The 14,848-nt window shown below is 45.5% G+C and overlaps 1 protein-coding gene across 4 annotated transcripts in view, besides 2 other annotated features; it reads left to right on the top strand.

Moving 5' to 3' along the window:
- Window positions 1-14,848, top strand: part of ADCY2 (adenylate cyclase 2) — a 433,944-nt gene that overhangs the window by 387,333 nt on the left and 31,763 nt on the right. For 3 of the 4 annotated variants that reach the window (NM_020546.3, XM_011513942.3, XM_047416645.1), the window contains 2 exons: window positions 895-979; window positions 6,172-6,330. In NM_020546.3, coding sequence (NP_065433.2) covers window positions 895-979; window positions 6,172-6,330 — 244 coding nt within the window. The remainder of the gene's footprint in view (window positions 1-894; window positions 980-6,171; window positions 6,331-14,848) is intronic. The other variant, XM_047416646.1, reaches the window with a different exon arrangement.
- Window positions 10,809-10,968: an enhancer, noted in NCBI's record as "active region_22345". NCBI's record gives its function as "activates an Ori minimal core promoter by ATAC-STARR-seq in GM12878 lymphoblastoid cells {active_cell/tissue: GM12878}" and the evidence as "EXISTENCE:reporter gene assay evidence [ECO:0000049][PMID:35858748]".
- Window positions 11,219-11,318: an enhancer, noted in NCBI's record as "active region_22346". NCBI's record gives its function as "activates an Ori minimal core promoter by ATAC-STARR-seq in GM12878 lymphoblastoid cells {active_cell/tissue: GM12878}" and the evidence as "EXISTENCE:reporter gene assay evidence [ECO:0000049][PMID:35858748]".

A 14,848-nucleotide genomic window follows, 5' to 3' on the forward strand; every position in this document is an offset into this window, starting at 1 on the left:
TAATACTACACCAAAGCCTCTTGTTATCTCGTTTGTCCTTGAACCCCCCACAGAGAAGCTGGAAAAATAAAAAAAACAAGGACGACACACAAGCAGAAAGTGATGACCTGCTGTTTGTAGTTGATCAAATGCCATCGATGCTGCTTATGTGACGTGGTGTCCATGCACCATCCATTTTTATTTTTCAGGTCTTAGTTACAGTCCTATGTAATGTTCGCATGTCAGCATTTGAAGGATGTGTGGGTGCTCACTGCCTGGAATGTGATAGTGAGGATTGGGGGAGCCCACCCAGTGCAGTGACATCTTGGCAGGGATGAATGACTGATGTCATTTATTATAAACTTGAACCTGAGGTCACTCAGGCAGTGTACCCAAAATTTTCATCTCTGTTATGCCTTTGTGATACAAAATCATATGAAAGAGTGAATAAGATTGGATGACTGCTTGAAAGTTATATGAAACTGTGTAATTCAGCTTGCAGAAATTAAGTTCCCTGCTTCATGTTTATACCTCACGTGATTACTCATTTCAAGCATACTGTCTCTTTCCGAGAGTAATGATGAAAACATTGAAGAAACCATCGATCCAATTACCCATACTGATCCCAGAAGTATAAAGAAAATGTTAATATTCTTGTATGTCTTCTTTTCATATTTGGTATAGCTTGATATAAAGTAGGAAGTCTGTATGATTTTACTGTGCTCTCAGAATAGGGATTTTTGTTTTGTTTTAATGCAAGCTGGGTTTGGAAGGAGATTTGAAACTTGTGTTTGGCTGGTATATGATGTAGACAGGCACTAGAGAATCTGATATTTGTTGATATTCAAATTCTAAGTCCTGTATGCGTGTTGTTTTGTTGCATTGTTGTCTGTTTGTCTGTCTGTTTTTTAATAGACCAGGCATTTGGAAAGACCTGAAGACCATGGGCTCTGTGTCTCTCTCTATATTCTTCATCACACTGCTTGTTCTGGGTAGACAGGTAAGAAGTCTGTTTATATATATGTATGTATACCTTCTCTAAAGTGCTGTATTAATAGTGCTTTGCTGTGCATTGTAGTTAATCTTCTTGGAAACAAACGTCTAAGAATTAGAATCATCTTATCACTGAAGATAAAACTAGTTAGTACAGGGTGTGGATGCTTCGATATAGACAAAAGGAAAAATATCTTTCGTATTTTCCACAAAAGGCAAATGTTATGAATGGCCAAAATTTTAATCAGTTAATTTCCTGTTAAATCTCAAAACAAATTTTGTAGTTTTTGTAAGCCTACAAAAGTGTTCCTTCAATAACTGACACTATTTGAAAAAAAAAAAAAAATCTCCCCTTGACTAGGGCTTTCATTTGCATTTCAGAATATGTAGCACACTTGTTTGAACTGGGCCTGAATACCTTTGCTGTCATTTGCAATCATTCCTAGAAATATGATCCCCTGTTAAAAAGTTTTATTTTGCAATGCAAATGAAACTGTTCTTCCTTCTTTGGTCCCTCCAACCCTTCTGGTCTCCCACAGAGGCTGTGGGTGCAAGATTTTTAAAGACAATTATTCTTCCTCTGCCTTCAACAAAGACAGTTGCCCAAAGACTACAAGACTCATCTGAAGCCAAGCACCTCTGCCTCGTCCACAGTCTGTTTTAAGTTCTATGAAGCGTGGTGTGAAACAAACAAAAAGCAGTGATTTATGTATTTGGAACGAACCCATGAAGAAGCAATGCCAATTCCATTAAATCTGCCCAATATCTAAGAGGTACACTATACTTATGAGTTTGGGTCTGGCTTCCAGTTGGCTTCCAGTTCTCCCCACCCAAAAGCTGTTGGTAATTGCATAGACAGTTGGACCAAGTCTGGATCTGGCTGTCAGGCCAGCAGTCCGGGACAACTGTCCTCTAGCTTCCCAAGCAGTGTGAGCTGCATCCTCCGTAGGAGCTCATGGTGCAGCCCTCATCCATCTCCCTAGCACCGAGCTGTCCTGTCCTGCTGCAAAGCTGTTTGAGGTCCCTTCTTCCCACCCCACCACCCCTCTTGCATTTTCTCTGTTCTGCATTCTTTGGCTTGCAGTTTTGACAACCTGCACCATATCCGGTTCTTTTTCCCTGGTTTCTCCTGCAACCCATTTTTCTTTTCTCACGACTGGCCGTCTTTCTGCTCTCACTCATATGGCAGGCATGCTCTCCCTTGAGTACTTTATAATTTAGATGTGAGAGAATTGCGCTTCCTTGAATAATATCACCTAGATGATCATTTCTCAGAAAACAATGCAGCCATCCCCTCTGTGGGATCACCTGTTTCTCCATTTCATACTGGGGATGCTTTTTCCTGCTAGAATCATCTCTCAGATTCCTTCACAGCAGCAAATTTTAAGAAACTCGTATCAAATTAAATTCTCCCAACTTTGTTATTGGTCGTTGAGATGATACACATTCAGTACCACTACATAATTATGGTTAAGTCCAATGGCTGACAGTTGATCCATCACCCTCTAATTAAGATAAATAATCAAAAGTGTTCAATATTATGATTGAGCACCAATTTTACACAATTGGGTTGATACCAGTCTCATAGGGAGTCATTCCATTTTTGTCTTTAGTGTAGCAAAAAGTAATATTTACATCTAGAGGCCTAGAAAAATTATTACTCCCTCTAAAGGATTTACCATTCTTCATAACCATTCTTTAACACCAGCTATAAATCACCGAATCTATATAAGACACCGTGGGAAATACCAAGGTGAGCCAGGAGGCTGACCTGCCATCCAAAATCATTGAGTGAATGACTTACTAAGGCCCCAAGTCTTCTGGGTAAGAACTTTGAAGTCTGTGATCCAGTGCTTTAGTACTCCCTTCCCCGAAAGGAGGGGAGGTATATCACAAAACACTCCATATTGGAAATAAGATTTTTCAAGTGCCATAAGTAAAGCATTCATGGCCTCAGTTACTGTATTTCCTGATTGGTTTATTAAATGATAGTATATGCATTTTGCAACTTATTTTCATTGTTATTTTTCCTGCTCCATGACCATCTTTTTTGAAATGATGGAGATATGTTTGCTTTCTGAGCAAATCAGTATACTAAATATTGCTTTAGGTATCTAAGTAGCCTTGATGAAAACATAACACATCTCTTGTGCAACAGGTACAGTACTACTTGCTGTACTAAAGTCTAGTTTATGACAGATGTGTTAACCAACTCAGGAGTCTCTTTTGAAAAAGAAAGAAGCTTAGTGTCTCACCAGAGCTTAAACAGCAGCACATTGAGGTGGGATACATTTATACTATAAAACCAGGGGACAGTCTACATGACCTCAAAATGAAGCTGTTGTTTTGTAGGAGAGCTTAGAACCCAAGAATCTACAGGGTCACCAACTGCCCTGTACTCCAGCCCAGTAACTGGTTCTTCTGTCTACGTAGAAAGATGTGAAGCCCTCCAGTTCCTCAGGTTGTTTTCAGAATCAGAAAATCCCAGAACCGCACTTGAGGCTGTGCTAGATGAGAGCCCCAGCAGGGAGGGTCATGGGGTCCCAGGCATGTCCTGGAGGATTCTCCTGGGCTCTTCCTTCTGTCTCACTCACTGTTGATAGAGCCAGTGAAAAGCAAATTCGGTGTCTCTTCATGGGATCTGGGCCCCTGAAAACCTGTAGAGTAGCCCCAGGCAGAATCCGAGAGGTGGGTGACAATCCGAGGGATGGGAGGCTCTCGAAGCTGAGGAAGCCTGCGTGTCTCTCCCTGTTCCTCCCCTGCACACAGAATCCTCTGTCTCCTCTGCAGCACTGCCCTCCCTGAGTCACCCAGGCAGGGGCTTCATCTTGGCCTCTGCTAGACGCCTGCGCATGGCCTCCCGCCATGTCTCTGAGTCAAATCCCCCCTCCTTTCTCTTGTAAGCACACCCGTCTTGAGGTTTAGGGCCAACCCTAGATCCAGGATGATATTATCCTGAGATCTTTAACTGAATCACATTCATAAAGACATTATTTCCAAATCAGGTCACATTTGCAAATAACAAGGGTTAGGACTTGGAACTATCTTTTGGAGGATTATTATTCAATGCATTCCATTTGATTGGGGATTTTTTAAGTCTTTTTTGAGGGGGCCTTTCATACAAGCTGCTAATGTGCCAGCTACTTACATATAAGACAGAGGATTCTAAACAGATTGCATTGCTTGGGAAGGTGATAGATGATTGATAGATGGATATAGATAAATAGAAAGGTAGGTAGGTAGATAGATAGGTAGATAGATAAATAGATTTGGCAAAATGTCATTTCGGTTCAGTACAGCTGAACCGAAATACTCTGAGTATTCCAAAATACTCTGATTTTTTTTAGTAGGAGACTTACAAACTGCTTACCTGTTATGCAATAACAATGGCTCTGAAAACCTGAGCAACATCCTAGCATGGCGCATGGAAACCTTTCATGCTCACTTGGGTTGGACTTGCTGCCTTAACTGCTCCCTTGGAGGTGGTTTCATCTCATGCTTCACTTTTGTCTAATTTGAAGTGTGCACCTTTGTCTTCTCAATGCCCCCACCACTTGTTGCATCTATCGTTTTAGTTTGAAGCCAGTCACACCACTGATTTATTTTTTTTTTTAAATCCATTCTTCAAGTGAGAAGGCTTTTCTAGTCAATGTAGAGCATAATTTCTATCAGTCCATGGTGTGGAAAATCTGGCATGAACGTGAAACTTTAAATATAAACAAACTTTTATTTTTGGGGTTTTGTTTTTGGTTTTTGAGACAGAGTCTCGTTCTGTTTCCCAGACTGGAGTGCAGTGGCTCAATCTCTGCTCCCTGCAACCTCCACCTCCTGGGTTCAAGTGATTCTCCTGCTTCAGCCTCTTGAGTAACTGGGATTACAGGCGCGCACAACCAGGCCCGGCTAATTTTTGTATTTTTAGTAGAGACGGGATTTTGCCAGGTGGGCCAGGCTGGTCTCAAACTGCTGACCTCAAGTGACCCACCCACCTTGGCCTCCCAAAGTGCTGGGATTACAGGCATGAGCCACCATGTCTGGCTAAATATAAACAAACTTTTAAAATATCTTTTTTGCAGTTTTTTGAAAATGCCTTGCTATATGAGATAAACATAAATGCCACACCAGAGGAGGAGTTTTCCTAATGTATGACAGATAATTTGAATCAAACATAACTAATGAATGATCATCGTTCTTTCAAATTTCAAAATGTGGATTTTAAATTTTTTTAATTCCCATTTGTGCATGAGAGGCCATCTGTGTGCATGTGTGTGTGTTTTGTGTTACTTTGTACTGTCATTGGTAGAATTAATCAACTCAACAAAGCAAACCAAAAACTTGCAGTTAGCTCTTCTTTGCATTTATTTGTCAATAAGTGACTATCTGTGTGAAATACACACTCTCCACTAAGCCCTTCTATTACAGGAAGATCCATTCAAGACTATTTCATGATTAAATTAAAGTATTTACATCATAGGAGGCACAAAATGATGCCAAGACCCAAAAGACTCTTTGTCAGTAATTGGGCCTCTCCATTCCTACAATGTTAGTAATAACTACTTTTAAAATACATTATATTTTAATACATTATAAAGCATGAACACAGGTTTTTACTAACAGGCACTATCTTAATTAATATCAAAATGAACTTTTCTCTAAATGTAACGAATGGCATTCTGTCAGAACAGCACAATCCCAAGTGGAAGAAAAATCCATATTTTGCAATGATTACATAATTATACAATTTGTGTTAGGGAAAAACTAATTTACAAATGCTAAAGGCAAACTGCCATAAACGAACAATACAGTTTTTATTCAAATCATCAAAAAATGCACTCTCTCTACAGAGGTATTTTTCATGTATTCATCATTTATATTCTACAATTGCCTCTTTTCAAAAAATAATTTGAGCCCTCTTTTAGTAGCATAACTTTGCAGGAAGCTTTAATGGCGCTTTGAATTTAAGCCTCCATATAGCTGATTTCCCTGTTTCTGAGGCTGGTTCTTGTTTTTTGCAAATCCATGTCAGAGGTTGACTGAAGGACATTTCAGGGACACAGAGGGCTTTATGGGGAGGGTGGAAGTTCTGTTTGGGGGTTCTTTTTTCGGTTTCATTTTGTTCTTTTTGTTTTCTCTTTAAAACCTCCACTCTCTGGCAGGACAAGATGCCTATTGTTTCTTTACCTCTGTGTCCTCTTGTAACAGAATGAATATTACTGTAGGTTAGACTTCTTATGGAAGAACAAATTCAAAAAAGAGCGGGAGGAGATAGAGACCATGGAGAACCTGAACCGCGTGCTGCTGGAGAACGTGCTTCCCGCGCACGTGGCTGAGCACTTCCTGGCCAGGAGCCTGAAGAATGAGGTCAGACCAGGGGGGCTGGGGGCTGGGGGAGGGGGCTGGATGCCATGATGACCTGGGTGAGGGCTGAAAGCTTCTTCAGTGACATAAAGGCTGCAGTACTTCACACATCTGAGTGTTCAAATTGGCCAAGATTGGCTTGAATTGTTCAGTTTTCAAGGAGATATTGATTGGTTGTAGAGATATCCGTTGAGAATAGTGGGTTAGAATGACCTCTAAAAGTCTGAGTCTGGAGGTGGATTCATTATTAGAGATTTTTTCCCCAATCATGTAAAGTTCTGAATGTCTTTTATGAGGCACTAGGATCCCAAATATGCCTCCAAAGAAGCCACTGCTCTCTCCCCATTGTGGGAGGAGGCCTGCCTTACCAGCACGCAATGGAGGCTCAAACCAAGAGGCAACGTTAAACCATGCCTCCCACACGCCCCCTGTTTCCCCACACTCAGCTTCCCTGACAGCCTTCCAAGGCTCTTAGAATTTCAAAGATATCAGATACACAGTGAGTGTGACAGGATTTAGGAGTTATCTACACAAGAGCAGACCAAAGACTTGAGTCCATCCATTAGAGTGGATAGAAATGGGAATTTCATGGAGTGTTTATCCAAATGGATTAGCTAGAGTTGCAAAGACTACAATGTCAGTTAAATATTGAAATGGGTTTTGAAGAGATGTTGTGAGATGTCTTTAATATTGCTGAAGTGCAAGAGAAAGCAGATATGTCTACATTTGGACTTAACGTGAGAAACATGTATCTGAGCATCCACAGTACGCAAAGCCCTGCGCTCATTTCTGTGGTGTTTCCCAGATGTCTGAGATGTGTAAACGAAGAAGTGTCTGAGACAGGTCTCAATCAAGTTAGAAGTTTATTTTCCAAGGTTGAGGATGGTGCCCAGGAAAAAGAAACACAAGTTACACTAGGATTCCTGGCCTGTGCTTTTCCCAAAGAGAGTTTTGAAGACTCCAATACTGAAAGGGGAAAGAGTGGACAGTAGGGGAAGGAGGAAAAGGAATAAAAAGAGAAACGGGGTAGACAAGAGATGGTTACATTCTTGTGAGGCTTGATTAGTGCTCATTGAAACCACATTTTCCATATGAAAAGAGAGGAGTCAGGAAAAGCCCATTATGCCTTCCTCTGCTTGAGCCGAGGGATGATTTCTGGTCTTGTCTTTGTCCAGTACCTGTGAAGATCAGCTATTAATTTGCATTGCCAGGATAAGAGTCAACAGAACTCTGTTTTCTGGTCAGTTTTTTTTTGGGGGGGTGTCTATTCTGAAAGATTTCAGGGCCCACAAGGAATTTTTTCCTGAGCAGTTGTGAGGGAGGCCACCTGGGGTGCTCCGTGGCCCTTCTATGTTGCAGCCATCCGTGTGGGAACAAAAAGCAGGTAGTTTCTTGCATGACTCAGTTCCCAAGCTTAACTTTTAGTGAGTTTGGGGTCCTGAGATTTTTTTTTTCAGAGGTGTAACCCCTGTTCTTAGGACATTTTCACTGAGGCATGGGAGTGCATGCGCAAAAGAGGTGGGGGTCACCTGTAGATGGATGAACTCCTTAATGGATAAGCTCAACCTGGATGATACCAGAACACAAAGCAACCTGCAGTGAGAAGCCTTGGAACAGTATTTTTCTGTAGCGGATTTGAAGTTGGCATTAAGAAGAAGGTGCCAGGTGGCAGATGAGGTGCTAGACATCACCACTCCCATCTTCCTGGAAATATTCAGGGCACAGTGGGCCTTCCAGGGCTACACAACAAGTCTCATGGCCCACTGGCTTTCCTATCTCTTCTCCTGGTGTTTACTACATTTGGTGGGTTCTTCAGCACCTGATTTTCCTATTGATCACAGGTAATAAAATTACAATGTCTATTAAAGGGCCCTCTGTTCTCGTTAACAGGAGTCTCCAGCCCATTTTTAAATTCAGCAAGGTCCCCATGTTTCCCCTGCCCTGTAGCCAGGCTGGTGGTGGCCCAGGATACAGAGATGAATGGGATTAGAGGTGGCCTCATCCTCCGTGGGCGCCTCCTGGGGATAGGATCCTGTTATCTCCAAGGACACTGGGATGTAAATATGGTACTCCAGAAAGGCTGCCACTGTGAGGAAGTGGCTTCTGAATCTGGAAATAAAGTGCTAGAAACTAGCTGGGAGACGGGGGCCAGGGGGAGAGAGGAACGGGGAGAGAACATTTCAGGCTCCAAGGGGCTACTTTTCCACAGGCACCAGGAAAGTGCCTAATTCAAGACCTGAGAAGAGCCCACTGGAGCAGGCAGGAAGAGAGCAAAGGGAGATAAGGGAGCTGAGGCCGGGCGCGGTGGCTCACGCCTGTAATCTCATACTTTGGGAGGCCAAGGCGTTTGGATCACCTGAGGTCAGGAGTTCAAGACCAGCCTGGCCAACATGGAGAAACCCCGTCTCTACTAAAAATACAAAAAAAAAAAAAAAAAAAAAAAAAAAATTAGCTGGGCATGGTGGCGGGTGCCTGTAATCCCAGCTACTTGGGAGGTTGAGGCAGGAGAATTGCTTGAACCTGGAGGTGGAGGTTGCAGTGAGCCGAGCTCGTGCCATTGCACTCCAGCCTCAGCAACAAGAGCGAAACTCCATCTCTAAATAAATAAATAAACATTTTTAAAAGAATTTGGGAGCTGATAGGAGGGTCCCTTCCTAGACATGGGCTCAGAGGAAAGCTCTGGAGCTCGAGAAGCTCTGTGAAGGTCTGTGGGGAGCACAGAAGGTACCCTGGCCCCAGGGTTCAGCCTCACAGCCCTGCAGAGCCCTGTCTCATGTCCTGACAGCCTCCCTGGGCCAGACCTCCAGGAGTAGCAGGTTCTCTCTGCTCTTTCCTGTTTGCTTGGCTTATTCTAAGCAAGCATCAGAATACAGTTACCCTCCTTGGAAATAATAAGGAAAGGCAAGATGGGGAAGGAGAATAAAACCTAGAGCTACACAGTGCGGCCTCAAATCTTACTCCCAACATTGTCTGTTCCTGTGAACGTGAGCTGGTTACTTCCCTGTCCGAGCCTCGCCGTCCTCATCCATAAAAGAAGAAGCATGGTGCCTTGCCTTCCAGTTGCTGGAGGCAGGCTGAGGGACATCTGCATGGTGCCTTCGCACTGCAGTCCTCCAGGTGAGGCGGGCATTTCACAGAGGCGTGCACGGGACCCACATCCACACAGGTGGGATACGCATGAGAGGGAAGACAGCAGCAAAGTGCGGGTCTTGGCAGCTCACAGTGACTCCTCCACTTCCCCTGTGGCCCTGCTGTGTACCAGGGACCTTCATGCCACTGCACAACCCTCTGGTGCTCCTGAGGGTGACGTGACATTTTCCTCCAAGTTTCCTAAGGAGTGCTGCTGTTGGGTTAAAGACACACAGTGTCAGCTGGGTGCGGTGGCTCAGGCCTGTAATCTCAGCACTTTGGGAGGCCAAGGCAAGCGGATCATGAGGTCAGGAGTTCAAGACCAGTCTGGCCAACATAGTGAAACCCTGTATCTACTAAAAATACAAAAACAAGTTAGCCGGGCATGGTGGTATGTGCCTGTAATCCCAGCTAGTAAGGAGACTGAGGCAGGAGAATCGCACCAACCCAGGAGGCAGAAATTGCAGCGAGCCGAGATCGTGCCTTTGCACTCCAGCATGGGCAACAGTACGAGACACCATCTCAACAACAACAACAAAAAAGACACACAGTGTCTCCTGTAGCATTCACCACCCTGCGAGCTCCATGGTGTAAAGCCGAGTAGTGGGGCAGGCAGCATGGCCTAACAGGAGCCCGGAGTGGGGACTCGGGACCTGGGGTGAGCCCTGGTTTTGGCACTGCCTCACTGCAAGGGCAGCTCGGAAACTTTCCAGGAGCAAAGCAGGAATGGGAACATTTAGATGAAGCCAGCTCTGGGCTTTGTTTCTGTATTTGTCAAATAAAGAAGGTGAACCCCTTGGGGGTGTCATCACAGCCACTGTAGCCCTGTGTGTACATAGGGACCTGTCTTTAAGCATTGATATAAATCCCCCTGCAGATGATCAGTGCCTGTTCACCAAGCTTCCAGTTGCAACACCTGAAGATGGTTCCTTCCTTCATTCGGGAAACACGGGGTCCTCAAATCTACACCTGACTGGGGGCAGCCTACAGCCCTATAGGAGAATGAAAGAGCTTGGTTTCAGAGCTCTTCAGACTTGGACCAGCATGGATGGCTCCACGTTCCATAACAGGCATGCCAAGGGTGTTTGGATGACGCTCAAGGCCAGTGATTCCTGCCTGGTAGGCTTGCAGTCTCGCTGCTGACCTGACATGTTCTCTGGAAGGGAGAAGAGTGGACACTGAACCTTAAATCAGAGCATCATCATTCCCACTGTGATGCTGGGAAATGAAATGATCGTGTCATTCTGCTCAGCTGGCGGGCTGCAGGGTTCTCTGTACTTAATCACACAATGCAGATCTTCCCTTGGCTGTAACATTTCAAATGTTACTACCAATTTCTGTCTAATAGGGTGAGCAATGGGGGTGATGGCTACTCTAGCAGCCATTGTAAGACTTGGGGACTAAACTATTAAAAGGAGCCCCCAATCCCCACCACAATCAGAGCAGACCTATGCCGTCTCCTCAAGGACCCTGTACTCCCCCAGGGGAGGTTTGCTAGCCAGTTGCGGGAACAGTGAGTGTGGGGAGATTCTGGAGGCTTCAGTCCCCATGGGAACAGCACTGCATGCAAAACAGAGCCCACACAAAGGGCCTGAGCAAGAAAGAGAGGCACCAACCCCCTGCCAAAAGTTCTCAGAGTTCCCACAGTGAGTCTCAGAAAGGGAGAGTTTTGTTTGTTTCTGAAAACACATAATGAGGGTGTTATAAGAAGAGCCACCTGCGTGCATAAAGCATAGCAAAGTCGTGCCCCTCCCTTCTGTGGAATGTCTCCTGTGGCCATCGGACCCTGCTGCCCTAAAGTAGCCTCCTCACTGGACAGAAGAATCTATTTCCTTGACCTAATGATGTAATATTAACCTTGCAATCCCAGGCCAGGTGGGGCTAATATTGTGTGGCCTTGCACAGCTGAATGATAACGGTGCCCATGCTGTTTAAGAGTGTAGCTATCATCAAGGTTTCTGTCCCCTCTACAGTGTCAGGACCAAATACTGACATCCTGCCTGAGCTCTTTTCCTCCCTAAGGTTTCCCCAAGCAGAAGCCCTACCCCTTACTGAAACTGCATGGCAGAGTGTGGCTGATGCTGGGACCAAAGAAGTCCCTGCAGACAAGAGCAGTGCTTCTGAAAGTGAAGCACCTGCTAAACAAGCTATTACTGGTCCCCACACAAGCCTTCCTTGACCTCCTGGGCCCTGAGAGGTGACTGAGAGCAAAGCATCTGTCCCAGCCCTGGCACCTCTTGGCTATGGGGCCTCAGAGTCCTCTCAGAGACCATTACCAATTTTTGAAGCAATAATTTAGATGAAGCTCTTAGAACTGTGCATGGCATGTAGTAAATACTGTTAGCTATCTTTTAAGCAAATATCCCAGATTCATGCAAAACTTGAGAATCACTGCCCCTGGGAATTGATCAAAAGCTTTCAGAAAGGGCTCCTGCCCAACATTTTTAGAGCCTGAATAAAGTGGAAAACAAAACCCAATGTAATCACTTCGCTCCTGTTCCTGGCATTGGATAAAAAGCACTGTGGGCAGTGCCTGCCTTCCCAGCCCCCTCTCAGCAGGGTGGGCCAAGCCCTGGTGCTGAGTGCTCAGTGCCTCTGAATGCAGAGGCCCCGGGGGAGGCTTCTGGGGCATGGGGTGGATGGGAGCAGGCCCTCAGCCCCTTTGTGTGGGTTGCCCCGGCATCCACCACACTAATCCATTTCCACTAAACTCTTGGTGATACTGCTCTGTGAGTCTTCTGGAAATAATACAGGAAAACAAGACTTTGGCAAAAGCAAGTATAGCTATACTTTACCAATATTGCCGGTTTGGTTCCAGACCTCTGCAATAAAGTGAATATCACTATCAAGCGAGTCACAAATTTTTGCTTTCCCAGCACATGTGAAGATTGTTTACACTATACTGTATGTTTTAAGTATTCAATAGCATGATGTGTAAAAAAAAATGTACATACCTTAACTTTAAAATACTGTATTGCAAAAAATGCTGACATGGATACACAAAATGAGCACATGCTGTTGGGAAAATGGTGCCATTAGACTTGGTCAAGGGAGGGTGGCAGCAAACATTCACTTTGTGAAAGATGCAATATCTGTGCACTGCAATAAAGCAAGACGCAATACAACAAGGTCTACCTATAAGCCAAAAAAAAAAGGACTTGAAGTCATGTTTTATTTCCCTGCCTGGGATCAGCTTATACCTGCATCCTTTCTGACTTAACTAGTGAAATACTTCATGCATAAACAGGATGGGGGCTGCTTCCCTGCAGAATCACTGCCCTGAGGATGAACGACTTCCTGGGACCAAAACTGACAGGTCAGGACTCTGGGAGAGACCAGGGAGGCAGTTCCATTCCTCTCTGTGGCACAACCTGTGGTTGCTGATGACTTTTTGAGTCCAGGGCAGGGCGTCTTTGGATAGCCTCCACTCCATGGCTTCTGGAACAATGCTTGGAAAATGGCACAGCTTATGCCAAGACCTGCATTAACACAGATCATGTCATTTTTGCTCTCCTACCCACTGCATCAATGCACAAAAGGAAATTAATTTCCCTTCAGAAATAGGGAGTCAAGAATGATGTAATCGCTGTAACAATCAATTCTGAAAAGGTTTTATTTCAATGAAGAAGTGCTCATAGGCCTATGCTCGGGCTCATGGGCATAGGGCTGGCTGTTTGTGTCTACACTGGCTTTGCAGTGCCTCTTCCTTCTCCTGGGCACTTGTGTTACTTAAAACTTCCTGAAGCTTCTCCATCAGCTGTTAACTGTCATGGCCAGATTCAGCCCACACAACCCTCAGGCTCATCAGGAGAGTTCTGTGCACCCAGATGGGAGCCTTCTCTGTTTCGGAAGCCTGTTCTCCCCACCTCTGTGTGTGGCAGGAACATTTCTGAAAAGCCCCTTCAATGGGCATCAAAGCCAGCTCTCATCACTTGGGGAGAAGACTGCATTTTGTCACCAAATCGACCCCGTGCCAAGTCCCCGGGTGGTAGAGGATTGTGAGCCAGACATCCTCATTCGGAGAGAGCCAATGCCTGATCAAAACAAGCCACATGAGCCACGGATGCCACCACAGAAATTTGGGAAATGCCCCTCGTGTGCAAACAGCACCTCCCTTTCTGCTGGTGAGAACCCTCCCAGTGACGACCAGGCAGATCACTCAACAGTGCTAAGCTTTAAGCTCTATGCCCATGCGTCCTCTGCAGGAGGGTCAGGCTAGCATGCCCTTGGGGTTTCAATAGACGCTTCTGTGCTTTCTAGTCATTTGACTCCCCTGAGTAAATTAGGCATTAACTGACAGTTGGGGACACCAGGTGCTTAATGGTTCCCACATAGATCAACTCGGGAAACGTGGACGATCCAAAGCCTCTATGCAGCCCAAGTCAGTGAGACAAAGCACCAGTCTGGTCTGGGAGGTGGGAGACCTGAGCGCCGGTGGCAGCTTTGAATGTTTTCTAGAACACTCCAACCCCCATGCCCACCTGGATGGAGAGCCCCAGACGCCTCCACACCTGGGCCCACGGCACCAACTGCACTTTATTATGTTTTCTGGATTTTCTCTGTCTCTCCAACTAGACTTCATGCTCCCTAAGGGCAGGGCTTGTGTTCTTTTCCTCTGTGTCCCTAACATCTGGTATGAAGTCTGGCACACAGCAGGCCCTTTGATAGGGCACGTGTGTGTGTAACAGGGCGTCAGAGGGAATTTCAGCCTGCGACACTAAGAGACGCTTGCTCTCTTATTCCAAAGGAGGCATTAAACAGTGTGCAGAGCTTACAAACGCCTTCCTTGACCTGCAGGGAGCTTATGAATTGGCCAGAAGACTAGAGGTTGAAAGAGGGTTTGGGTAGAATGTAGTGGGGATGAGCCCCCTCCTAGAGGGGAAGGTGGGGATCCCCCCTCACTTCCAGCCTGTGAACAGGCCAGAACTGCTCAGCCTGGGAGCACCCCATGACTTGAGTCTCTGAGTGGTCCTGGGAAGCATCTCCAACTGGGGGACACCAATAGCAGGCAGGTTCTGATACTTGGAAACACTGAATGCAGGTGCTGATGGGGCATCTGGGCACACAGGGTGGGGAGCTGTGGTTTGGGACATGGCTGGACTGTCAGTTGTTTGGACAGCAAAGGGTGCTCAGTGTTGCCCAAGGATCAAGCAAGAAAAAGAGAATTGGTGTAGGGTTATTTTAGATCCAATGTTACAAAGCTGCCTGGGTGACGGGGGGAAGGCAGTGGGAGGTGAAGGCACCTCCACAGAGAAAGCCCGGACCTGAGAGGGTAGTGAGGAGCAGGAGGGATGTGCATGGCCTCCATCATAGAAGACTCAGGTTTGAGGGGATGTCCAGGGATGGGCGAAATGGCAGGGAGTCTTCCAAAAACCCATGAAAACATCCACAG

This window comes from Homo sapiens, chromosome 5 (genome assembly GCF_000001405.40).
Source record: "Homo sapiens chromosome 5, GRCh38.p14 Primary Assembly".
Classification (NCBI taxonomy): domain Eukaryota; kingdom Metazoa; phylum Chordata; class Mammalia; order Primates; family Hominidae; genus Homo; species Homo sapiens.